Source organism: Homo sapiens, chromosome 4 (assembly GCF_000001405.40).
Source record: "Homo sapiens chromosome 4, GRCh38.p14 Primary Assembly".
Taxonomy (NCBI): domain Eukaryota; kingdom Metazoa; phylum Chordata; class Mammalia; order Primates; family Hominidae; genus Homo; species Homo sapiens.
Genome location: NC_000004.12, coordinates 28,100,025 through 28,127,639, shown reverse-complemented (window position 1 = coordinate 28,127,639; position 27,615 = coordinate 28,100,025). Strand labels below are relative to the sequence as shown.

Here is a 27,615-nt window from a genome sequence, read left to right as displayed (position 1 = left end):
TTTACTTGATTGAAGAAATACCATCCTAATTGTAATTAACTTATAAATTTTGTCATGAATGGATGATTACTGAGTTGAGTTGATTATATGGTTTACTCCTTCATACAGCTCATGTGTTAAATACTCTAACTGGTCTTGAAATGTTAACTAGCTTTAAATTCCTGAGATATATTACTGAATTAAATTTAAAGTGCCTGTATTTATGAGAAATATCAGTTTATAATTTATCTTTTTTTCAATGTCTTTGTGAGGTTGTTACATCAGAGAAACACTGATCTTATAAAACAAATTAGTGTTTCCACATCATTTTTATTTGTGATTTGTAGGTACATTTCAAAATAACTAACATTCTCTAAATGGTATATTACCCAAAAATGGAAAAAACTTCTCCATTAATTTAGGTGTTATATGTTTTAATAAATCTTAATTGCACTTCTTAGAAAGTCCAGCACTCTTTTTGTTAAATTTAGGTTTATTTACTTATATTGTCTAATGTTGTTTTAAATGAGATTTTATTTTAAATAATTTTTGGTTGGTGGTTGCTGATATAAAGATATGCATTTGAACTTTCTATATTATCCTTATGTTCTGCTTGCTAGATAAACTTTACAATAATATGTAATAATGTGTCTAAATAGTTTTCTAAGTAAATAGTCATATATTTTACAAACATGGCAGTTTTATTTCTTTATTTTAAATCCCCCTGCATCAAATTCTTTTCATCATATTATTGTGCATGCCAGGGCTTCCAAAATATGTATTATTTGAAATTGTGAAAATGTGCTTCCTTGTGTTGTGTTTTTTATTTTAAATGAAAATCTCTCTACATTTACACATTTAGAATAATACATATTGCTTTTTAAAAAATATATTAGATACAGAAACACACTTTCCTATTTTTTAATATACTGAGCATTTTTATCACAAATTTATGATAAAATGTTTCAAATACATACTTTGCATCTGTTTAAATGACTATCTGGAGATTTTATTTTATTCTGTTAATGTGATAATTAAATTTATAGATTGAACTTCTTTGTATGTACGAGATGAAATAAACATAGTCATGGTATTTAATGTTCCTTTTTAGCTTTTATTGTGGTAAAATAAACATAACATAAAATGTACATAAAATGTGCTATCTTATTGCTTTTTTTCTTTCTTTTTTTGAGATGGAGTCTCGCTTTGTTGCCCAGGCTGGACTTCAGTGGCATGATCTCAGCTTACCACAACCTCTGCCTCCTGGGTTCAAGGGATTCTCCTTGAACCCCCAAAGTAGCTGGGATTACAGGTGTGCACCACCATGCCAGGCTAATTTTTGAATTTTTAGTAGAGACGGGGTTTCACCACGTTGGCCAGGCTGGTCTCGAACTCCTGACCTCAAGTGATTTATCAGCCTCGACCTCCCAAAGTGTTGGGATTACAGGCATGAGCCATCACGCCCAGCCCTTATTTCACTTTTAAGTGTATAGTTTAATGGCATTAAGTACATTCATATTATTTTACAACTCTCATAACCATCCATTAACATAATTATTTTCATCTTTCAAAGCCCAAACTCTATGCCCATTAAATGATAACTCCTCCCTTACCTGCCTCCCCCAAAACCCTAGAAACCACCATTCTGTTTTCTGTCTCTTTGATTTTGACTACTTTAAGTAACCACATATAAGTGGAATCATACAGCCTTTATCTTTATATGACTGACTTATTTCACTTGGCATAGTGTCATCAACCTTTATCTATATTTTAGCATATGTCAGAATTTCCTTCCTTTTCTTAAGGCTGAATTGTATCCAATTGTATGTACATATCACATTTTTGTTTATGTTTTCATCTGCCAGTGAACACTTCCACATTTCGGCTATTGTGAAAAATGCTACTATGAACATGAGTATACAAATACAGGCATATCTTATTTTATTTGTGCATTGTTATATTTTGTTTCAAAGATATTGCTTATATTTTTACAAACTGAAGTTTTATGGTAACCCTGAGCCAAGCAAGTCTATTCATTTTTCCAATAGCACACGCTTAATTCCTGTTACTGTGTCACATTTGGTAATTTTTATAATATTTCAAACTTTTTTATTACTGTCAACCAACCATTCCCTGTCTCTCTCCCTCTCCTCAAGCCTCCCTATTTTCTGAGGCACAGTAATATTGAAGTTAGGCCAATAAATAACCTTACAATGCCTTCTAAGTGTTCAGATGAAAGGAAGAGTTTCAAGTCTCTCAATATAAATCAAATGGCCAAGAAGCATATGAAAAAATATTCAACATCACTAATCATCAGAGAAATGCAATTTAAAATCAATGAGATATACCACCTACACCAATCAGAATGGCTATTACTAAAAAGTCAAAAAATAACAGAGGTAGGAGAGGATGTAGAGGAAAGGGACACTTATACACTGTTGCTGTGAATGTAAATTAATACAACCTGTAAGGAAAAGTGTATTGAGATTTCACAAAGAACTAAAAATAGAACTACCATTTTGATCCAGAAAGCTCACTACTAGGTACCTACCAAAAAGAAAAAATACATATTATATTAAAAAATACTTGCACTCATATGTTTATTGCAGCACTATTCACAATAGCAAGTATTCGGAATCAACCTAAGGGGGTCATTGATGAATGAATGGATTTTAAAAACCATGGTATATATAGACAATGGAATATATTCTACCTTAAAAAATGGAATCATGACTTTTGCAGTAACATGGATGGAACTGGAGGCCATTATCTTAAGTAAAATGACTCAGAATCAAAATGTCAAATAGGGCATGTCTAACTTATAAATGCATGCTTAATAATGCATACACATGGAAAGTATGGAATGAGGGACAATTGAGACTCAGAGGTTTGGGGGCGGGAGGAGAGTGGAAGATGGGAGGTTGTTAGCTGAGTAAAATGTGCATCGCTCCAGTGATGGATACACTGAAGACTTGACCATCATGCAATATATCAATATAGTAAAATTGCACTTTTACTCCATGATTGTTTATATATATATATATATGATTGCGTGTGTGTGTGTGTGTGTAGCTAGAAATAAGCTTAGTGAGGAAGGCATGTCAAAAACTGAGTTAGGCTGAAAGGTAGTCCTCTTGAAGCTAAGAGTTAGCCAAGTTATGAATGCTAAGGAAAAGTTATTGAAGAAAATTTAAAATGCTATTCCAGTGAGCACACAAATGATAAGAAAGCAAACAGCCTTATTGCTGATATGGGGAAAGCTTTTGTAGTCTGTATAGAAGATTAAGCAGGCCAGACCATTCCTTTAATTCAGAGCCTAATCCAGAGCAAAGTCTTAACTCTCTTCAATTCTGTGAAGGCTGAGAGAAGTGAGGAAACTGCAGGAGAAAAGTTGGAAACTAGCAGACACTGGTTCATGAGATTTAAGAAAAGAAGCCACTTCCATAACATAAAAGTGCAAACGGAAGCAGAAAGTGCTGAAGTAGAAGTTGCAGGAAGTTATCCAAGAGGTTTAATTAAGATCATTGATGAAAGTCCCACAAAACAACAAATTTTCAATGTTGATGAAAGTGCCTTACATAGAAAAAAGGTGCCATCTAAGACTTTAATAGCTTGAGTGGAGAAGTCATTGTCTGGTTTCAAAGCTTCAGAGAATAGGCTAATTTTCTTGGTAGGGACTAATGCATCCTGTGCTTTTTAAGTTGAAGCCAATGCATATTTACCATTCTCAAAATTCTAGGGCTCTTTAGAATTATACTAAATCTACTTTCTGTGGGCTGTGTAAATGAGAAAACAAAGCTTGGATGAAAATGTATCTGTTTACAGCATGGTTTACTGAATATTTTAAGCCCACTGTTGAGACCTACTGCTCATTGATTCCCATTGACAATGAACCTGGTCACCCAAGGGCTCTAATGGAAATGTACAATGAGATTAATGTTAGTTTTATGCCTGCTAACACAACATCCATTCTGTAGCCCATGGATTAAGAATTTTGACTTTCAAGTTATATCATTTACAAAATATATTTTGTAAGGCTATAGCTATGATAGAGAGTGATTCCTGTAATGGATCTGGGCAAAATAAATTGAAAACTGTCTGGAAAGAATTTACCATTCTAGATTCAATTAAGAACATTCATGACTCATGGATGGTTGTCAAAATAATATTAACAGAAGTTTGAAAGAAGTTGATTCCAAGCCTCATAGATGACATTTAGGGATTGAAGACTTCAGGGGAGGAAGTAACTGCAGATGTAATTTAAAAAAATCAAAAGAACAGGAAATGGAGCCTGGACATGTGACTGATTTGCTACAATGTCATGATAAAATTTTTATGGATGAGGAGCTGCTTCTTCTGATGAGTAACAAAAGCGGTTTCTTGAGATGAAATCTACTCCTGATGAAGATGCTGTGAATTTTTGAAATGACAGTGAAGGACTTAGAATATTACATAAACTTTTTTTGATAAAGTCAGGACTCCAATTTGAAAGAAGCTCTACTCTAGGTTAAGTGCTACCAAATAGAATCACAGCTACAGAGAAATATTTTGTGAAAGAGTGAATAGATGTGGCAAAATTCATTATTGCCTTATTTTAAGAAATTCCCAAAGCCATCCCAATCATCAGCAACCACCACCCTGATCAGCCGGCAGACATCAACATCAAGGCAAAGGTAAAACCCTCTACCAGCAAAAAGATCACAACTTTCTGAAGGCTCAGATGATTGTTAGCATTCTTTAGCCATAATTTATTTTCAATTTTTATTTAAAAAATTTGGATATAATTTATTTTATATTTTTAATGAAGGTATGTACATTTTTAGACACAATTCTATTACACATTTAAACAAGCTATGGTATAGTGTAAGCACAAATTTTATATTCACTGGGAAATCAAAATAAATAATTGTATGACTTACTTTATTACAATATTTACTTTATTGTGATGATCTAGAACTGAGCCCACAGTGTCTCCATTTCATGCCTGCATCTTGTTAAGACCTTGCTTTCAATTCTTTTGATTACATACCTGAAGTGGAACTGCTGACTTATACATACATCATTTAAATTTTTTTATGAATAACCATAGCATAAAGTCTATTTTTACTATTATAAAAATAGATACATAGATCAATGAAACAGAATAGAGAACACAGAAATAATGCCACATATCCATAACCAACTGATCTTTGAAAAAGTTGACAAAAGCAAACACTGGGGGAGGGTCACCCTTTTAAGTAATGGTGCTGGGAAAACTAAAATAGCCATAAGCAGAAGAATAAAACTAGATTCCTATCTCTCACCATATGCAAAATTTAATGCAAGATGGATTAAAGACTTCAGTGTAAGACCTGAAACTATTAAAATACTAGAAGAAACCGTAGGCAAAACTCTTCTAAACATTGGTCTAGGCAAAGAACTCAGGACAAAGACCTTAAAATTGGAAGCAACAAAAACAACAGTAGACAAATGAAACATAATTAAACTAAAAAACTTCTATATCATTTATCAAAGAGACCATCCTTTCTTCATATTGTCTTCATGGTATCTTTGGCAGAATCTAATTGGCCGTAAGTGGATAGATTGATTTCTGCATTCTTTATCCTATTTTTTTGGTCAATGTGTCTATTTTTATGCAAGTATCACGCTGTTTTGATTATACAATGGCTTTATACTATGTTTTACAATTACAGTGGTTTTTTTGGTGACGTTTTTAGGGTTTTTAAATTTAAAATCATGTCATTAACAAATAGAAGCCATTAAACTTCCTCCCATTCTATTAGAATATATTTCATTTCTTTTTCTTGCCTAATTTTACTAGGTAGGACTTCCAGTATTATGTTAAAAGAAATGATGAGAGTGAGCATCCTTGTCTTACTCTTGATTTCAGTTAACAATCTTTCACCTTCTCACCACTGAATGTAATACTATCTGGGGCTTGTTGTCATTAGATTTTTGATAGGGATTGTATTGAATCTGTAGGTAGCTTTGAGTGGAATTTACATTTTAACAATATTAAGTCTTCCAATCTATGGAAACAGACTGTCTTTTCATTATTGGTGGCTTCTTTAATTTTTTACAATTAAAGAAGTCTGTCTCTTTTTTTTTTTTTTTCTTTTTTTGAGATGGAGTTTTGCTCTTGTTGCCCAGGCTGGAGTGCAATGGCGCAATTTCAGCTCACCGCAACCTCTACCTCCCCAGTTCAAGAGATTTTCCTGCCTCAGCCTCGCGAGTAGCTGGGATTACAAGCATGCGCCACCATGCCCAGCTAATTTTGTATTTTTAGTAGAGACAGAATTTCTCCATTTTGGTCAGGCTGGTCTCTAACTCCTGACACGTGTGATCCACCCGCCTCAGCCTCCCAAAGTGTTGGGATCACAGGCAAGAGTCACCGCACCTGGCTGTCTTTCTCCTTCTTGGTTAAGTTTATTCCTAAGTATTTTATTTTTTTGATGGTACTGTAAATAATTTTTTTGATTTTATTCTCTGATTTTTTATTGTTAGTGTATAGAAAAACAACTGATTTTTGCATATTGATTTTGTATCTTGCAAATTGCTAAATTTGTTTACTAGTTCTATTAGTTTTACGGAATCAAGGATTTTCCTTGTTTCTTTAAAAACTTTATTTTAGAGCAGTTTTAAATTTACAGAATTAGTGTGATACCAGTATAGGGAGTTTTCACATACCACACAACCAGTTTTACTTATTAACATTTTTCCATTAGTGCGATATATTTGTTACAACTAATGAATTGATATTTATGCATCACAATTAACTGATGTCTACACTTTATTCACAATTCCTCAGTTTTCTACTAATGTCCTTTGACTTTTTCAAGATCCAAGATAGCAGGGTTCCCCAAGCCCTGGGCCATGGACCAGTACCAGTCTGTGGCCTGTTAGGAGCCGGCCACACAGCAGGAGGTGAGCAGCAGGTTAGCAAGCATTACTGACTGCCTGAGCACCTCCTGTCTGATCAGCAGCAGCATTAGATTCCCATAGGAGTAGGAACCCTACTATAAACTGCACATGTGAGGGACAAAGGTTGTGCACACTCCTTATGAGAATCTTATGCCTGATGATCTGAGGTGGAGCAGTTTCATCCTGAAACCATCCCTTTACCCCTAGTTCATGGAAAAAAAAAAATGCCTTTAACAAAACTGGTCCCTGGTGCCACAAAGGTTGGGGACCATTGCCATATAGGATACCACATTACATCTAGTTATCCTGTCTCTTAGGGACCTCTAACTATGATGGTTTTTAGGCTTTTCTTGTCTTTGATGACTGTGACAATTTTGAGGATTATAGGTCAGATATTTTGTGGACTATTCGTCCACTGGAATTTGCCTCTTTTTTTTTTTTTCATGATTAGACTAGGGTAGTGGGCTTTTGGGAGGAAAATCACAGAGGTAAATTGCCCTTCTCTTCACATTCTAACAAGGGCACCTTGTAACCACACAACTAAACACCATTGATGCTGATAGTGATGACCTTGCTCAATTGATGTCTGTCAAGTTTCTCCAGGGTGAAGTAGTTTGTTGCTAATTTCCAAAATGTACTGTCTGGAAAGAATCACTTTTGGGAGTCCACACTTTTAAGAATGGGGAGTAATGTGCCACCACCTTGAGGGCAGAGTATTTACATGTTATTTAGAATTATTTTGCACTGGTAGAAGAAAAAAATCAACAAAGTTGAAAATAGTACAATAAAAATTATGGAGTCTGAAGAACAGGAAGAAAAAAGGAAAACTATACATCTGATAAAGTTCTAATATCTAAAAAATGTAAAGAACTCAAAACAACTCAAAAGCAAGGAAACAAGTAACCCAATTGTGAATTGGGCAAAGAACCTAAACAGTGCTTTTGGTGAGACTGAGGAGAAGGAAAGGAGAGAGGAAGAGGTGAGAGAAAAAAGAAAGCCATTCTAAAATTCAATTTTAGAATCTTTTTATACCCTTTCAATTCATTGAATTTTTTTTTTTACTTTTTCCAGCCATGTTTCTTCCTGAAAACTCTTGCTCCTCTCACTACCAGCTTTTGTGTGAAAACACACACACACACACACACACACACACACAGTGTTCCCCTTGATATAAATCAAAGCAGGTTGAGAAGTTCTGTCTCAGTGCTTGGTTTTGTAAATGGAAATGTAATATTTAGATATCTAAATATTGTTTACATATTCTCAATAATGATAATGGTGAAGTTTCACCTCGACTCAGGAAAAGCTGAAAGGAAGCTAAAAGTTTATTAGAAACAATCCATAAATAACACCAAAGTGAGAGAATGGCAGCATGTGGCAATATCCTGAATGACGTTGTTTCTGGTAACCCTCCAGCAAAAGTCTTTTTGAAGTTTTAGATTTTTGAAGTTTAAATTGAACTCCACAGACCAGAGCATAATGTTCTGTTCTTATTGTTGCATTTGTTTGTTTTGCTATTTAATGGCTCTAATTATTAAGCTTAACCTAAATTAGAGGATGGTGCAGAAAAAAGTCAAGCAACTTAAGGTTTGACTTGATGAATCTATCCAGGAAAGCGTATGAGATTTGGAAACAGATGCTTAGGCCTCTGGACAAGGAGAACTTATTGCTATGGAGTATGAGACTCCATAGCAATGGAGGAGCCCTGGGGGAGCCAGGGCTTACAGCTTTGAATTAATCAAGCTCTGTTCTCTAGATATTTGACTCATTCTATTTTATAATACTTCTCCAAAATGGCTCCAGTCCCCCTCACTTTTTCACAGCTCAAGTTGGAAGGAAGTCATAAAGAATAGAGAATAGAAATATGGGGGATATTCCCAAGCTGAGCTAGTACAAAACAGTTCCCCTAGGTCAGTAACACTTGCGTTTCCAAGGAGACAGACACTTTGAGGAAAGTCTTACCAAATCATAAATATGTAATTTTTTTCTTCTCAGAAATCCTATCAAGCAAATTTAGTTAACTTGGCCATAGCTCATAAAACCTAAATATTGTGAGGTTGTTGAATGTTTAAACCTAACATCAATGTACAGTTCTACAGACCCTGAAATGTTTTCTGAATTCAAATCCTCAATGCAGAAGAATAGAAGCTAAACATAAGTTGGAAGTCATCAATTTCTCTTTAACCTGGGCACCAGGGAAAAACAAAAACCTGAGATGGAAAAAATAAATTTATTACAGGGATTCCAGGACTCTACAGGGTTCTGGGGAATTAACCGATTATCGTACACAGCGCTAACAAAGCACCTACATGATTCCTTCTAGGTACACAGGCCACTTCACACACATTATTTCCCTCATTCTCCCCACAGCCTGGTAAAGCAGGAGAGGCAGGTGTTTTCATCCCCATGACTCTCATATAGTCTTAGAGACTTTGTCCTCCTGTCAATGCCTCAAGGGTTTCACTACTGAGTGATCAGTACATCTATACATTTCACATAAGCAGAGCTGAAGTGCTACCTCTAATTCAGCTTCTTCACCAAAGCTCAGATCCTCAGAACAATGACCAACTTTGCATTCCTTTTTCAACTTCAGCTGCCTCATTTGAATGACACCATTTTAATGACAATAAATGTATGGGCACCGTGAAGTAAGAAATATTACCCTATATTAATACCCATCTGCCTGCCATCTCCCTAAGATCCTGAGGCGTGTTTCAAAGTGAGCATAGGAGAATTCGCACCTAATTAAAACCACAGGGGGAATGGAATGTCAGAGGCAGAATTTAGTTTATTTCTTAGAATGAGAGCATTTCTGGGACTAGCCTGTCCACCAAACTTGCCTAAGGTCTTGGGGTAAAGCGTATGTACGAGAGAAGAAGTATCAAGGAAAGAGAGATAGGTTTGTTTCGTTTTGTTTGTTTTTAATAAAAATGCCACTTAGGTCTTAAGGAATGAAAGTGCTAGAAAATAAACTTAATTGAACCAATTTTTGCCCTCACAATTTTCTGTTTTCCCCTACATACCTAAGTCATATTGAGAGGTGACGGCGTGCTGGCAGCACTCACAGGCCTCGCTCGCTCTCCGCGCCTCCTTGGCCTAGGCGCCCACTCTTGCCGCGCTTCAGCAGCCCTTCAGCCCGCCGCTGCACTGCGGGAGCCCTTTTCTGGGCTGGCCGAGGCCGGAGCCGGCTCCCTCAGCTTGCACAGAGGTGTGGAGGGAGAGGCGCGGGTGGGAACCGGGGCTGCGCGCGGCGCTTGCTGGCCAGCGCGAGTTCCGGGTGGGCGTGGGCTCGGCGGGCCCAGCACTCAGAGCGGCTGGCCGGAGCCGCCGGCGCCAGGCAGTGAGCGGCTTAGCACCCGGGCCAGCAGCTGCGGAGGGTGCGCCAGGTCCGCCAGCAGTGCCGACCCGCCGGCGCTGCGCTGGAATTCTCGCCAGGCCTCAGCTGCCTCCCGGTGGGGCAGGGCTCGGGACCTGCAGCCCGCCATGCCTCAGCCTCCCCAGCACCGTGGGCTCCTGCGCCGCCCTAACCTCTCCGACGGGCGCCGCCCCCAGCTCCAGGGCGCCCAGTAGCATCAATCGCCCAAGGGCTGAGGAGTGCGGTCGCAGGGCGCGGGACTGGCGGCAGCTCCACCTGTGGTCCGGGTGCGGGATCCACTAGGTGAAGTCAGCTGGGCTCCTGAGTGGACTGGGGACTTGGAGAACTTTTATGTCTAGCTGGAGGATTGTATATGCACTAATCAACACTCTGTGTCTAGCTCAATGTTTGTAAACACACCAATCAGCACCCTGTGTCTAGCTCAGGGAATGTAAATGCACCAATCAGCACCCTGTCAAAACGGCCAATCAGCTCTCTGTAAGACAGACCAATCAGCTCTCTGTAAAATGGAACAATCAGCAGGATGTGGGTAGGGCCAGATAAGGGAATAAAAGCAGGCTGCCAAGCCAGCAGTGGCAAACGCTTTGGCCCCCTTCCAGCTTGTGGAAGCTTTGTTCTTTTGCTCTTTGCAATAAATCTTACTGCTGCTCACTCTTTGGGTCCACACTTCCTTTATGAGCTGTAACACTCACCGCGAAGGTCTGCAGCTTCACTTCTGAAACCAGCGAGACCACGAACGCACCGGGAGGAACAAACAACTCCAGACACACTACCTTAAGAGCTGTAACACTGACGGCGAAGGTCTGCAGCTTCACTCCTGAAGCCAGCGAGACCACGAACCCACCAGAAGGAAGAAACTCCGAACACGTCCAAACATCAGAAGGAACACACTCCGGACACACCATCTTTTAGAACTGTAAGTCACCGCGAGGGTCTGAGGCTTCATTCTTGAAGTCAGTGAGACCAAGAACCCACCAATTCCAGACACAATGTAACTACCCTTTTAGTAGACTCAGAAAATACAGATAAAGAAGTTTTGGTAGAAGTAACAGTAAATAGCTGAAAGATGAAGAAACAAGTCCGTAATCCTAGCACTTTGGGAGGCCGAGGTGGGTAGATTACCTGAGGTCAGGAGTTCGAGACCAACCTGGCCAACATGGTGAAACCTCATCTCTACTAAAAATACAAAAATTAGGGCAGGCACGGTGTTTCACACCTGTAGTCCCAGCACTTTGGGAGGCTGAGGCAGGTGGATCATGAGGTCAGGAGACCGAGACCATCCTGGTTAACAGGGTGAAACCCCATCTCTACTAAAAATACAAAAAATTAGCCAGGCGTGGTGGCAGGCGCCTGTAGTCCCAGCTACTTGGGAGGCTGAGGCAGCAGAATGGCATGAACCCGGGAGGCGGAGCTTGCAGCGAGCCAAGATCGTGCCACTGCACTCCAGCCTGGGCGACAGAGCAAGACCCTGTCTCAAAAAAATAAATAAATAATAAGTAAATAAATAAAATAAAAAATAGAAATACAAAAATTAGCCTGGCGTGGTGGCACACACTTGTAATCCCAGCAACTCGGGAGGCTGAGGCAGGAGATTTGCTTGAGCCTGGGAGACGGAGGTTGCAGTGAGCGGAGATCATGCCACTGTACTCCAGCCTGACCAACAGAGCGGGACTCTGTCTCAAAAAAAAAAAAAAAAAAAAAAAAAAACACATGGAAGCCAACAGTGCAGCCCTCAGTCTGAGGCCTAAGGCCCGAAAGTCCCTGGAAAGCCACTGGTGCAAGCCTCAGAGTCCAAAGGCCAAAATTCTGGAGTCTGATATCCAAGAGCAGGAGGAGAGAAAGCAAGTGTCTGGCATGGGAAGAGAGAGAGGGAGGGAGGAGACTCTGCTGCTTATATGCCCTTCTTCTGCATGCTTTGTTTTAGCTGCACTAGTACCCCGATTTGATGGTGCCCACCCACAGTGAGGGTGGGTCTTCCTCAGTCCACTGACTCAAATGTCAGTATCCTCTGGCAGTACCCTCACAAACATACTCAAAACCAATATTTCATCAGCCATGTAAGCATCTCTCACAACAATCAAGTTGACACATAATATTAACCATCACAATCTTTCATAGTTTTAGATGCTAGGAAGCCTAAGATCAAGATGCTAGAAGATCTGATGAGGGCTTGGTTTTTGGTTCATAGATGGCACTTCTTCACTGTGTTCTGACATCATTGAAGAGATGAATGAGCTGTGTGGGGCCTCTTAAGGCCACTAATCTCATTCATGAGGGCTCCCCCCTTATAATCCAATCACCTCCCACATATTCCACCTCCTAATACCATCACTTTCAAGTGTATAATTGTAACATACAAATTTTGGGGGGACATAAACTTGCAGCCCGTTGCATATGGTAACTCTGGAAATCAGGTTTTCCTTTTTTTCCTAGGGTTTGTTGTATTTTTGTTTTTGTTTTTCATTTTTGATTGTTGTAGGCTGTCTCTGTACTGAGGATCAGTCTGAGATAAAGCATAAGATGTTCTCATGTCTTTTCCGAGCTTCTTCCTTCCCCTAGGCATGCCAGGTGACTTTATAATGTCTCTCATTTTTTTTTCTTTTTTTTTTCTTTGTTTTTTTTGAGACAGAGTCTCACTCTGTCAGCCAGGCTGGAGTGCAGTGGCACGATCTCTGCTCACTGCAGCCTCCATCTCCTGGAGACCAAGATGACTTAAACTGGACAAATATATATATGTGATACTTTTTTTTTTTTTTTAAGATGGAGTCTTGCTCTGTCGCCCAGGCTGGAGTGCAGTGGCGCAATCTCGGCTCACTGCAACCTCCGCCACGCCACCACGTCTGCTTTTTGTATTGTTAGTAGAGTCAGGGTTTCACCATGTTGGCCAGGCTGGTCTCGAACTCCTGACCTCAGGTGATCTGCCCGCCTTGGCCTTCCAAAGTGCCGGGATAACAGGCATGAACCACTGCACATGGCCCTATGTGATACTTTTTAAATGTCATAATCTTCAATGCCTGGCCCTTGAAAGAGGAAAAAGAGAAAAACGAAACAGGACAATAAAGAAGCACCAGCCCTTTAAATTCCCTGGAAGTCACTTCAGCTAGAGGGGGACAGGCTTGTAATAATAGGGGAGGTGCAACAATGGCTTTTGCCTCTTTGTCTGTACCTCTCTCATCAGAAGCAGCAATCAGTAATGACCCCTCGTATTGAGAAGGGAGAGTCTATTTGGTCCACCCATGCTCCCAGGAGTTACGTGCAAGCTGCTCCAGGAATACATTTACAGTTGCCTGCCTCAAGGCTGAGATGGGAGAAGGTATGTAGCTGATACTGTGTCCGGAATTGGTGGGTTCTTGGTCTCACTGACTTCATGAATGAAGCCGCGGACCCTCGCGGTGAGTGTTACACTTCTTAAAGGCAGCGTGTCCGGAGTTTGTTCCTTCTGACGTTCAGATATGTTCAGAGTTTCTTCCTTGTGGTGGGTTCCTGGTCTCGCTGGCTCAGGAGTGAAGCTGCAGACCTTCGCGGTGAGTGTTACAGCTCTTAGGGCAGCGCATCTGGAGTTGTTCGTTTCTCTCGGTGGGTTCGTGGTCTCGATGGCTTCAGGAGTGAAGCTGCAGATGTTCACGGTGAGTGTTACAGCTCATAAAGGCAGTGTGGACCCAAAGAGTGAGCAGCAGCAAGATTTATTGCAAAGAGCAAAAGAACAAAGCTTCCACAGTGTGGAAGGGGACCCCAGGGGGTTGCCACTGCTGGCTTGGGCAGCCTGCTTTTATTCTCTTATCTGGCCCCACCCACATCCTGCTGATTGGTTCATTTTACAGAGAGCAAAGTGGTCTGTTTTGACAGGGTGCTGACTGGTGCCTTTACAATCCCTGAGCTAGACACAAAGGTTCTTCACGTCCCCACCAGATTAGCTAGATACAGAGTGGGGACACAAAGGTTCTCCAAGTCCCCACCAGAGTAGCTAGATACAGAGTGTCCATTGGTGTGTTCACAAACCCTGAGCTAGACACAGGGTGCTGATTGGTGTGTTTACAAACCTTGAGCTAGATACAGAGTGCTGATTGGTGCATTTACAATCCCCTAGCTAGACATAAAGGTGCTCCAAGTCCCCACCAGACTCAGGAGCCCCGCTGGCTTCACCCAGTGGATCCCACACCTGGGCTGCAGGTGGAGCTGCCTGCCAGTTCCGCCTTGTGCCTGTGCTCCTCAGCCTTTGGGTGGTCGATGGGACTGAGCGCCGTGGAGCAGGGGGCGGTGCTCGTCGGGGAGGCTCCGGCCGCACAGGAGCCCATGGAGTGGGGTAAGCTCAGGCATGGCAGGCTGCAGGTCCCAAGCCCTGCACCGCAGGGAGACAGCTAAGGCCCGGTGAGAAATCGAGCGCAGTGCCTGTGGGCCGGCACCACTGGGGGACCCAGCACACCCTCCACAGCCGCTGGCCCAGGTGCTAAGCCCCTCATTGCCTGGGGCCAGCAGGGCCGGCCAGCCACTCCCAGTGCGGCGCCCACCAAGCCCATTCCCACCGGGAACTCCAGCTGGCCGGCAAGCTCCGCGCGCAGCCCCGGTTCCCGCTCGCGCCTCTCCCTCCACACTTCCTTGGAAACTGAGGGAGCTGGCTCTGACCTTGGCCGCCCAGAAAGGGGCTCCCACAGTGCAGCAGTGGGCTGAAGGGCTCCTCAAGTGCCGCCAAAGTGGGAGCCCAGGCAGAGGAGGTGCCCAGAGCAAGAAAGGGCTGCGAGGGCTTGCCAGCACGCTGTCACTTCTCACTGCTCTGCTCAGGGTTGAAATGACCAAACTTAAATCATCATTTGTGATCCAAGTCTTCTTTTGCAAGCATTCAGCACACTCTAGGGCTGCAAAATAGTTACATTGGTTAGATACCACCAGTGAGATTGTTCTCTAGTAGGGAAATAGTTTACTGGTGCTTCCTACTCTGCTATCTTAACAGATTCTTTACCCTTTTAAATATTATTGAGCCAGCCTCCTGGCTCATGCCTGTAATCCCACAACTTTGAGAGGCCAAGGCAGGAGGATCTCCAGAAGTTTGAAAACAGCCTAGGCAACATAGTGAGACCCTGTCTCTACAAAAAAAATTTAATATCAGCTGAGCATGGTGGCTGTACCTGTATTCCTAGTTACTCCAGGGGCTAAGGTAGGAGGATTGCTTGAACCCTGAGGCTGCTGTGAGCCATGATCTCACCACTGCACTTCAGCCTGGTTGACATCACCCCCTCTCCCAAAATACTATTGGATTTGATTTTATGGCTAAACAGAAGATTCTAGGGCCAGGCACGGTGGCTCATGCCTATAATCCCAGTAGTTTGGGATTCCGAGGCTGGTGCATCACCTGAGGTCAGGAGTTCGAGACCAGCCTAGCCAATATGGTGAAACCCAATCTCTACTAAAAACACAAAAAAGTTAGCCAGGCGTGGTGGCACGCGCCTGTAATCCCAGCTACTAGGGAGACTGAGGCAGGAGAATCACTAGAACCCAGTAGGCGGGGTTGCAGTGAGCTGAGATCACGCTATTGCACTCCAGCTTAGGCAATAAGAGTGAAACTCCGTCTCAACAAAGGAAGATTCTAAATTCTAAGTACCATTTCTTTAATACTTAACAAATGCCACCCAATGATCTTCTTATATCTCATAGTGTGGTTAAAAGAAAAACCCTGATGAAGATCTGTTGTTTTTTTTTTTTCTTTTTCAAATGATATTTTGTATGCCTGGGAAATTTTTATTTAAAAATTATTTTACCCTTCTTTCGTATATATTTAAACATCACTTATAGCTAGATCTAAGTCTTTACTGATCTCTTTGGCATATCATGTGCCCTTTCAATGTTAGCTCTTTCACCCTTATTTATGGTAATTTTATCTTCATTATTTCTTCAAATATTTTCTCCATTACATTTAGGGTAAATTTTTTTCAATGCTATTTAATATTATTGTGTTTATATCAAATTATTTGATTTGAAAATTGTAATAGTTTTCTGATGCCTCACTGGAGTCTGGTATTTGATAAAATATATGTGTTCCAGAACTTTAAAAGCATAGGTGTTCTCTAATTATTAAATAATGAGTTCTACAATTGATTAAACGATCTGATATGACAACTGCGCAATTCAAAATATCTATATTCATACTTTGTTAAAAAGTCTTGTTATATCAATTACTAAACTATTTTACAATTCAAGTAATATCTATTTATTTGTCAATATTTTCTTGTGACATATATATGTATATGTGTCTATATAATTATCTATGTAAATATTTTAAAATATTTAATAATGTGTATACCCTATCTGGTAAATTGCATATTTAGAAATATGTAGTATTTTGTTGCAATATTGCATTTTGCTCTTGACTATTATCTGATGTAAATTATTTAAACAACTCATTAATTTAGTACTTCCATTTTGCAAGTATTATGATAGGACTTTTAGTATAAGGATAAAACCCATGGTTTTTGTCCTCTAGGAGTCTAAAGTTTCATAAAAATAAGCAAAAAAAATATGAACTTTGGACTGCATATTTACATTTGAAAGATAGAACAAAAAAAAGTGAAACCATAGATACATGCCATTTGCCACTTAGCAGCTTTATTTAATGGAGTCAAAAAGAGTATATATATATATACACACACACACACACACACACACACACACGCATATATATATACACATACACACACATATATACACATACACATACACATATATAACCAAGATGAAAAAAAAAATAAGTGAAGTCATAGATATATGCTATTTGCCACTTAGCAAATTTATTTAATAGAAGTCAAAAGAGTATATACATATATACTTATATATCCATATGATTACCAATCTCTTTTATGTAGAATAATGATATTATATTTCAGGAATAGAGTTCTATTTCTCCACTGAGTTCCACATCAATATTTAAAAATATAAATTGAAATGGAAACCCATGCCAGATAGCATGATATAGTTAGTTTTCAAGGGTTCAAAATACTCTGCATATATAAAATGTAAAAAGATTAACTTCATCAGATTTAATATTTTAATCTTGGGATTATTATTCCCTTTTTGATTTTTTTGAAGTATCTAAATTTAGGCCATGTTGAAATATAAACATATGATCTTGTACATAAATATTCATAATAATAAAAATATGTCTCATCTCAATGGACATTCAAGGTCATTACAGAATGATTTATTTATGTGGGAGTTATTTGGCAGTTAATCTGAAAAATCAAATTAGTGAACAGAACTATCAGAAAAGAAAAATGTCACTGCTCAGAGCTCTCATTACAAATAATATAACATCTTTCACATGTTTTATCAATTTCTTAGGACTGATAGACCTTACAGAAAGTTACTGTAAAAGGAGAATGTATGTGTTACTTACATACCCAAGATAAGACAGAAATTATATCTACTTTATGTCAACAATTGCATTGTAAGAGTAAGTGACTTTCAACAATGAATAGTTATTAAAACAAGATTCCAGCCTGAATGCACATATTCATGAGGAAATGCCTTTTTTATGGAGTATTTATTGAAATGTTTTATTTATAAAATACTGTGGCTGGCAGCTACATGCTAAGACAGCAAGAGAAAGACTAAATTGTCCAAGACTTTTTATATGTTATTGAAAAAGCAGAGAAATTTTTAATACAAACTCATTAGGATCTTTGAAAATTGATGAAATCATTATAATCCTGACCTTTTTTTATGTTCTTAAAGGAATATAGCTTTACTGCACTGTATTGTCTAACACGTAAGAAATAGGCCCTTGAACAGGAGACAATTTGCAGTACAATGGTAAGCTGCTGTATGCTTTCGTGTGTTAAATTTTTTATGCCACATGAAGATTTCTGCATATTAATACATAAATTTAATCTGATATCTAATGATCTTTCTCATATGGCACAACCCAACAATTATCAATAAAACATGATTTTTTAATACATGGGAAACAAACAGATATAAAGTTGTGCTCAATTAGGCAATACACATTATTATGTATTTTTTGACAGTTATAACTGTACCCATAGAGTATTACTGTCGTAATATATATTTTATAAACTTTTCTTGACCTATTTATTCTTTGATGTATATGATAGTAATTTCCTTTTTTTTTTTTTTGTTCATGCTGTTGCTTGTTGCAGAACTTACCCCTTTTACTTTCTTCCATGATGAACTACTCTATTCACTTCTAAATTCAGTTTGAATTCAGATTCCTCCACAATGTATGACGGTTTTTTTTTCCCCACGCAATTCTTCTTTTCTATAATAAGCTAAAAGTAATTGTGTGTGTGTGTGTGTGTGTGTGTGTGTGTGTGTGTGTATGTGTTTGTATTTTTCAGAATTCTTAAAACCTTTAAGCAAGTTCTGGGCCCTGATATTGATCCTTTTGATATACTAACCAGATTGAAAGCTCCTTGAGCACAAATATACGTCAGATTCATCATTAAATTCATCATAATTCCAGGACCAAAAGCTCAAATTGGACAATTTGCAGTCCCCAAAAGGTCAGTGCTTTCAGTCACTAAGAAATGTGCGAGTTGTGACACTACACAGGTGCTCCTTGACTTACTATGGGGTTGTGCCCCAATAAACTCATTCTCTGTTGAAAATAACAAGTCAAAAGTGTGTTTTTGACACATAGGTTTATTCAGACATAACCGCGTGGTAAATTGAGAAGCATACTGAATGTGTATTGCTTTCTTCCCATTTGTCAAGTAGAAAAGTTCTAATTTGAACCAATATAAGTTGGGAACTAACATTAGGATGTAACATAGATTATTATTCAGAAATGTCTATTTTCCATTCACAGTGGGGTAGCAGTGAAAATTATTCAGCTGCAGGTGCTAGAAAATTCTAAAATTATGATTAATAATCAAGTTCTAGGAAACACAATTCCTTTCAGGAATTAGAGAATATTATTTTCTTCTTCAATAAATGAGAAAGCATTCCTCTTGACAGAACAAAAAGGAATACAACTGTCAAAGCCTGATTTCACATAGAGTAATCATTTCAGCCGAGAAAACACAGTATGTGATCTAGTAACAGTTTGTCGTGACAAAGCTACTTTTGAGAGCTTAAGATTGAATACATACACACAGAAATTCAAATGATTACAACTTCAAGATCAGGATTTATGATAAACTGTAATATCTTTGGGACTCTAGGTATGTAGGGTCCCTTAAAAATGTTACATTCAATTATTACAAACTTTTTTGCCCAATTAGCAGAAAGCAGTATTTTAAGGGATGAACGAATTCTAACATTAGTCAGAAGAGGTAAGTCATATGTCAATGTGTGCTAAAACGGTCCTTTTGCAAAGCTCAATACTAACTCTTATTTTTGTGATAAAATTCAGAATTAAATTCCTCATTTTCATTTTTCAAGGTATCCTAATTCATAACTGTTATGTGTGAATTTATGTTCAGCAGTATATATTCTTTCTTTAGAAAAAGAATAACCTTTATTTGAAAATGATATCTAGTAACAGAGTTTCCAACACAATACTATTTATTTTCAGGAACATATTCAAACCAAGCATCGATGTTTGATGAAAGCAAATCTGACTGTCAGGAGAGTAGGTTGACACATGCCTTTCTAAATATTATCCAAAAAGAAGGCTTTCCTTTCACCAGCTTCAGAGGACAATGGCATTATATGTCTTGAAAAAGTCACATATGCAAAAGAAACATTAAATTTTAAAGAACTAGAGACTGCTGGTTGGGCATAGTGGCACACCCCTGTAATCCCAGCACTTTGGGAGGCTAAGGTGGGCAGATCACCTGAGGTCAGGAGTTCAAGACCAGCCTGGCCAATATGGTGAAACCCCATCTCTACTAAAAATACAAAAATTAGCCGGATATAGTGGCTCGTGCCTGTTGTCCCAGCTACTCGGGAGGCTGAGGCAGAAGAATCGCTTGAACCCAGGAGGCAGAGGTTGAAGGGAGCTGAGATCATGCCACTGCACTCCAGCCTGGGCACCAAAGTGAGACTCCATCTCAAACAAACAAAACAAACAAACAAAAGAAAAAAAAAACTAGAGACTGATACAGAATCTTCACTTAATTCTGAATTCTTATAATCATACTGACTTATCAAATCCTATGCTATTTTTCTTCTTTACATTACAGTTAACTAAATGATAGTCGTGGTCAATCAAAAACATGCCTAAAGATAACCATTCTGTAAATCCACAATTTTAGAAGAATCTCGTTCTCCTTGCTTTTCCTTATGGTTTATTAGAAGATCCAAAAATAAAATACAAGTTTACTTATTGAAAATGTTGATGGCTCAGAAGAAAACATTCTTTTAAAATGTAGCAAAGCTATTCAAAATCAAGTCTGATTAATAAGATCTTGTTCTTGGTAAATTTGGGAAATATAATACATCAAAGTTTTGCAACACTGTAAAAGCAGTTTCCAACTGTTGTTGAGCATGTCAGAAAACAATTGTTTATACCTTTCAACGTTTTTAGAAAGATGCTTGAGAAATTGACCCACAAAAAATAATTATTGCTTACCCATTTCTAAATCTTACATTTAAATTTAAGACATTTTACTGGATCAACTCTGACAATAGTTTTCAGGCTCAGACAGATGCTATATCAACTAGTAAGTATTTCGTGTACTCTACTAGTAAGTAAACTTGGAGTAAGGAAATTTCCTGTAGATAAGGCATACAAAAATAAATACAATCAAATTAAAACACTGAAATTTCTTGTTTCATCTAAATTGACTACAAAATAATTTTTTTAATCCTGTGTGTTTTTGTGTATATTCTAAAGAGATGGAATTGCTGACAAGATCCAAAATAGCTAATCCAACAGTCCTTAACTTTTGCTTTAAGATCACCTAAAATAATTTTTAAAAAAGGTTATCCCATTGTAATTTTAAAAAAAATCACATCTAATGTATAATTTAAAGATGACTAGATAGATTTGTTATGACTTACACATACTTATTTTATTTTATCAATAAAACAATGTGTCACTGCCTTCAATAGATTTAACATCAGTCTTTCTGGATTTTTTGTTTGTTTGTTTTCCAGAAGAGCAATGCCCCATCCTTCCTTCCTTCCTCCCTCCTTCCCTTCCCTCCCTCCCTCCCTTCCTTCTTTCCTTCCTTCCTTCCTCCCTCCCTCCCTTCCCTTCCTCCCTTCCTTCCTTCCTTCTTTACTTTCTTCGTTCCTTCTCTTTCTTCCTTCCTTCTTTCCTTCCTTCTTTTTCTCCTTAGAATGGCCAAATGAAAATGTACATTTGTGTAATGAAAACTGCCATTATTCATGTCACTCATTTTGCAGTTCAGAACATCTCAACACAGATTAAAACACCATTTCTAACATCAAACTTCAAAATTATCAGAAATGTGCTTGAGTCACGAAGCTCAGCTATATGTTTGTGTTGCCTTATTAAAGGATACTTTATTCACACCCCACTTTCTCGGACATATCTGTTGAAAGAAACACTTCATGTAGAGGTGAAACATCTAGAAGTTGATTTTTCTAAACTACTGATTCTAGAAGAGGAACAATTTTGTCTCCCTTCCAGGGGATGGGTGGGATCATAGGGAGGCAATTCTGGGTGTTGGGGCTTGGATGGGGGTGCTACTGCTGTCTGGTGAGAGCAGCGTGTTGCTACATTTCCAACACACAAGACAGTCACCTACAACAAAGAATAATCCGGCCCAAAATGTCAACAGGACTGAGATCAAAAAGCCCTGTCCTAACATAATCTTTGTCCCCAAGATTTCATGTGTGCTTAAGGGTCCACAACCTCATTTTGAAGACTTGGCTATGGTAATTCCACTGTATTTTTCTAAATATAATAGTTCATTGTCTTCTATTTGGGGCAAAGGACAAATACTTGCATAAGCAAACATCATTTCTTCAGATGGAAAAGGAAGAAATGTTACAGGATGGGCAAAGTTTGTCACCCACACATACACAATACCTGCACATACACCAAATGCCTTACATCCTCAGAGTAACTATGCTTACCTGAATAGAAAATATAAAAAAAAAAATTAATCCTTTGCTGTCTAAGAATGTTATTGCAATGTCATATGTGGGTCTATCCCTTCCCACACCCTTACTTCTTACCTACCTTGTCCTGCTTTCACCTTCATAATCCATCTTTTCCCTTTTTCTTATCACAAAGTATTTTTTTATGAGTTTCATTGCCTTGGAGGTGTGTCTAAATTTCTGCTTCTCACTTTTGGTATTTGATATCATGTAACAGATTAAATAATGAATTGAGATTTTGCATTAACCTTACTTTAAAGGAGCCATCTAGAGGCACAATGCTTTGATCAAAAAAGAGATTTTAATGAAGAGAATTTCAGGTAATACAGCAAACTAGGGGAGAAAATAAATTGGCGCAAGCAGGCATTTCCACATCCTGTCACTAAGAATCTGTCTATGACAAGAAAAGCATATCAGATAATTTTAGTAAAAAAAAATTTAATTACATCTTTCTGATAAGTTAAACTGGACTACAGTGTCTGTTAAGTCCCAAACCTGTTCAAAGCTATTTACCTGTGTGGTATATTGGAGATGAATGAGAGAGAAGGATAAATTATTAACGTCATGTCAACCATTTTAAAGAAAATAATTCAATTATAACTTCAGCTTTTTAGAGCCATCACAAAAAAAATCTTTATGTTAATCTTCTAACAAGGGGTTTAAAGGAAAGTGTTGCTCAAAACAAGAAAGAAAAAACTAGATTTTGGCATATAATAATAACTTCAGGAGTCCGTTCCCATTGCTTATCTCTTGTATTATACAAAATATTTTCATCATCAAATGCTGATTTTCATTGCATGTAATTTTTACAGTGGTTGATATATTTAAAGCCCACATAGAAGACATAACTCACATTAGGATTAATGGAGGTTGAAAATAGAGTTCAAGGAGAGAATATACACTAACCTCTTTGTTATGAGACACACCTCATCTGCTATTCATTAGAACATCTTGGAAGCGCTGTATAATACATCAAAAGCAAAAGTGCCCATAATGCAATGTCGTTTATTTTTATATAGCAACTCACACACTGTGTATCTTAAAATGTTTTTCAAAGAGTATTAGTCACAAGCAGCAAAAAAAAATAGGATTTTTTTTTTTTTTTTTTTCAGACAGAGTCTGACTCTGTCACCCAGGCTGGAGTGCAGTACCGCGATCTCAGCTCGCTGCAACCTCTGCCCCCCTGGGTACAAGCGATTCTCCTGCCTCAGCCTCCCGAGTAGCTGGGATTACAGGCGCCTGCCACCGCGCCTGGCTAATTTTTGTATTTTTGGTAAAGATGGGGTTTCACCGTGTTAGCCAGGATGGTCTCGATCTCCTGACCTTGTGATCTTCCCGCCTCGGCCTCCCAAAGTGGTGGGATTACAGGCATGAGCCACCGTGCCTGGCCAAGAATAGGATTTTTATAGTGATGTAAGATGCCACTACTGGGCAATTCTGCACCAAATGTAGTTACAATAAAAGCAAAAACTAAGGAAACCCTTTTCAAGATTTTGGAGTCTCTAAAGAGACTTTCACCTTGTTAAATCCAGTATTATCTTACATTTTTTCTAAGTTCTGAGCTATTCTTCAATTATTACAGAGTCTTATGAAAATTAAGAGAAAAATAGCAAAATAACTCTAGTTCTTTGAATATCCTTTAAAAAACATTTTCAATGATAACATTGAAAGAATTGTCTGAGCTCGGGTTGTGCTGTGGATGACTCTAATTTTGTTAGGAGTTGACCTCAATCTCATACATGGATGATTTAAATGACTGATGTGAAAACAACGTGGTAAACATATGAAGTAGAAAAGCTCCCTAATTCTACCCAAATTAATGCAACTCTTTCAATTTCCATAAGATAACAAAAAAATAAATCAGGTTTTAAATTATTAGTTGTTCTGATAATACTTCTTATTAACATTCTCATTTACGAGAATGCAAAACTATACCTATTATACATTCAAATGTCTAATATACATCTATAGCATCCAAAAATCAAATACAGTATGTAATTATCACGGCTCTCCTCTGATTTGCACTCTTTTTATATTTGATTGCAACTAGAATAAAATAAATTCCTTACCATTGGCTGTGAGAATTTGCAGAGTGGTCCCTAGCTAACCATCTAACTTCCTTGATCATAGATCCTCAGGATTCTCACACTCTCAGGTCACACTCATCCTGTCCTTTTCCCAAAGCCCCTCTGTGCCTTGCCCTTGGTGACCCTTTGCTTAGGACAGTCAGTCCCATGCTTATGGTCACCTACTCTTAACCCTCATAAAAGTAGCTTCCCTTCTCATTACTCTGTATCCTGTTGACCTTGCTAAATTTTCTTCATGGCTCCTGTAACTACTTATTATTCTATTTAACTTTACCTATTTATTTCTTTATTCTCTGTTCTCCAAATAGAATGTAAAGGTAAGAGAGTAGAGATTTGTGTTTCTTGCCCACAACTTTCTTCTTGTCACCTCCAAGAGACACTCTAGGAACTTCATGAATATATATTGAATAATGATCAATCAACCTAGTAATCATTTTAGTATTGGCATATAGATTCATATGTGAAATCGTGTGTGATAGTTTCTTGCTTGTTTGGTTTTTTTGTTTTTGTGCTGTGTGTGCACACAAGTAGATGTCTATGTCTCTGCATGTGTGATGGGTTGTAAATGGATTGGGGGCAATTAAAAACCAACCCAGCATAATATGCATCTGAGAAATATGCAAATAATAATGTATCATTCAAAAGGAGGAATAAAATGACATTAAAAGCAGATTCTTAAAATACCATTGGCTCCTGCTCGTAAATTCAGCTGGCAAACCCCACCCTCAATATTTTTCTTCTTTAAAAAAAAAAACTCAGACATAATCAAACCCAAAACCTTATCTCTGGTGCATAGCCCCCTCTAGCCTTTTCACCGACTTGTTATTTTTTTCTTTAGGAAAAGATTCTGGAAATAATTTTTATAACAGCTTCTCATCCTCAGTGTCATTTATTTTCTTACACTAATTAAGTGATTCTTCAGCTTTCTAAAGCAATACCTTTGAAATTATTTTGCCAAGATCACCCAGGATATCTTTGCTATTTGCCATATCTAATGTGTAATTTTAGTTGTAATCTTAGAATGCTACTCCCAGACAAAATGGTGCTTTTATTACCTTATTATTTGTTTCTGTGTCTTATTTATCAACGTATTTCAGTCTAACTTTATAATGTTCAGCCTAATGGGTTACTATTACTGCAGTTCTCTTTACATGTCTCTGTTTGCTAGGAATGCTGCTTTGGTTTCATTTTTCACATACGCCTAAACATTTTTCTCACTGGAAATTCATCTGTGTCCACAACTTCAACTATATGTTCATATGATGATACTTTTCTCTATCCTCTACATCCTCTGGATGTACTTCTTTCCTGAAAGCACAATAGTCCACCTAACAATTCGATGGATATCTCCTCCTGAATAGCCCAAGAACCATGAATGAAAATGTAATGCATCTTCTATTAATACCAAATCACATGTTCTCATGATTTGTTCCACCATCTTCCCAGAAGCACAGGCTTACAAGTCTAGACTTTTTGTGCTGGCACAGCAAAAACGTTCCATTAATATTTATGAATAATTGAACAATCCTTACTCCTGTACCTATTGTTTGCACATTCTCTTCTCCTGCCTACACATATTGGGAAGCTGTAATTAATAGTCATAAAACTTGGGTCTCTGGGGTGACTTAATTGGATTCAAATCCTAGATCTTCTATTTATTAATTACAGGATCTGGGACACATGACCTAAATGGCTGTGCCTATTTCTGCTCATCTAGGAAATGGTAAAAATAATGATAGTCCTCACAGAATTGGGCAAAATGGGATAATATAGATAAAGCATGTAGAGCAGTGCCTGGCACACAGTTACTCTATTAAATGCTATGAATTTATTATTTTTGAAATTAGAACTCTCCCTATCTGACCTATGCCAATGTTCAGGCCAAGTGAAACTCTTACCTGAAATGATATTTATCTTTTATATCAGTCCACCTTGAACTCACTGTCAGAGAGATTTTTTTTTTTTTTTTTTTTGAGACAGAGTCTCACTCTGTCGCCCAGGCTGGAGTGCAGTGGCGCGATCTTGGCTCACTGTAACCTTCGCCCTCCGAGTTCAAGCAATTCTCCTGCCTCAGCCTCCCGAGTAGCTAGGATTACAGGCGCCTGCCATCGTGCCTGACTAATTTTTTTTTTGTATTTTTGGTAGAGGCGGGGTTTCACCATCTTGGCCAGGCTGGTCTTGAACTCCTGATCTCATGATACACCTGCCTCGGCATCCCAAAGTGCTGGGATTACAGGCGTGAGCCACTGCGCCCGGCCAATCCCACACTACTTACATTGTTACAGAGCACAGAAAAAAAGAGAAGAATAAATCAACTTGTTTTATTAAATTAATATATTCTGAATACAACACATGCTAAATGTTTTGCATGAAAAATGTTAGCATGGAGAAATGCAGTCAACATAAAAATATAAAGTTTTAAAAATCCCTAAATAAAACCTGTTTTAAGTATAATACAATGATATCTTAAAATAATAGTGTAATAATTTGTGCCTCTGAAACTCAGGGTAGAGTTCAGGGGTTCAGAAATAAACTAGAAAGATATCAGTATATGAAACCTCTAGACCAGATAAGATCATTGAAAATGCAAAAGAATAAAAAAAAAAAGAGGCCGGTAATGGTGGCTCAGGCCTGTAATCCCAGCATTGTGGAAGGCCGAGGCTGGAGGATCACCTGAGGTCAGAAGGTCAAGACTAGACTGGCCAACATGGTGGAACCCCATTTCTACTAAAAACACAAAAATTAGCTGGACATGGTGGTGCATACTTGTAATCTCAGCTACTCGGGAAGCTGAGAAAGGAGAATTGCTTGAACCTGGGAGACAGAGGTTGCAGTGAGCCGAGATCATGCCATTGCACTCCAGCCTGGGCAACAAGAATGAAACTCTGTCCCCCGCAAAAAAGAGAAAAAATAATAATATAAAAAAGAAACCTTTAACATTCTAACAATTAGAATTGATGTTGATGAGGGGAGCAAGTAAGAGAAGATTGAATGAAAATATTATTCTGTGAAGTTGGAGTCAAATTAGCTAAATGAAGCTTAGTGGAAAATTAATTTACCCTGGAATGCTGCTAAGAGGCTACAATGAGGACAAAAAAAAAATGACATGTGGGTTTTCTGAAAGGCCTGGCCCTTAGTATCACTCATATGATCATGAAGGCTATTTTCTTGGGGTGGTGGGGATTACAGTTTTTGACTGGGGAGGGCTCTCATTTAGACAACTATTGCACG

At 38.3% G+C, this 27,615-nt stretch overlaps 2 long non-coding RNA genes across 4 annotated transcripts in view; one reads left to right on the top strand and one right to left on the bottom strand.

Moving 5' to 3' along the window:
* The window catches only part of LOC105374557 (uncharacterized), a 485,690-nt gene extending 475,560 nt beyond the window's left edge, over nt 1-10,130 (bottom strand). For all 3 annotated transcript variants that reach the window (NR_188396.1, NR_188397.1, NR_188398.1), the window contains exon 1: nt 9,924-10,130. This is a non-coding gene — a long non-coding RNA (uncharacterized LOC105374557). The remainder of the gene's footprint in view (nt 1-9,923) is intronic.
* An 8,559-nt stretch (nt 10,131-18,689) lies between these two features.
* LOC105374553 (uncharacterized) overlaps nt 18,690-27,615 on the top strand; it is an 84,694-nt gene continuing 75,768 nt past the window's right edge. The window contains exon 1 of the long non-coding RNA XR_925524.2: nt 18,690-18,786. This is a non-coding gene — a long non-coding RNA (uncharacterized LOC105374553). The remainder of the gene's footprint in view (nt 18,787-27,615) is intronic.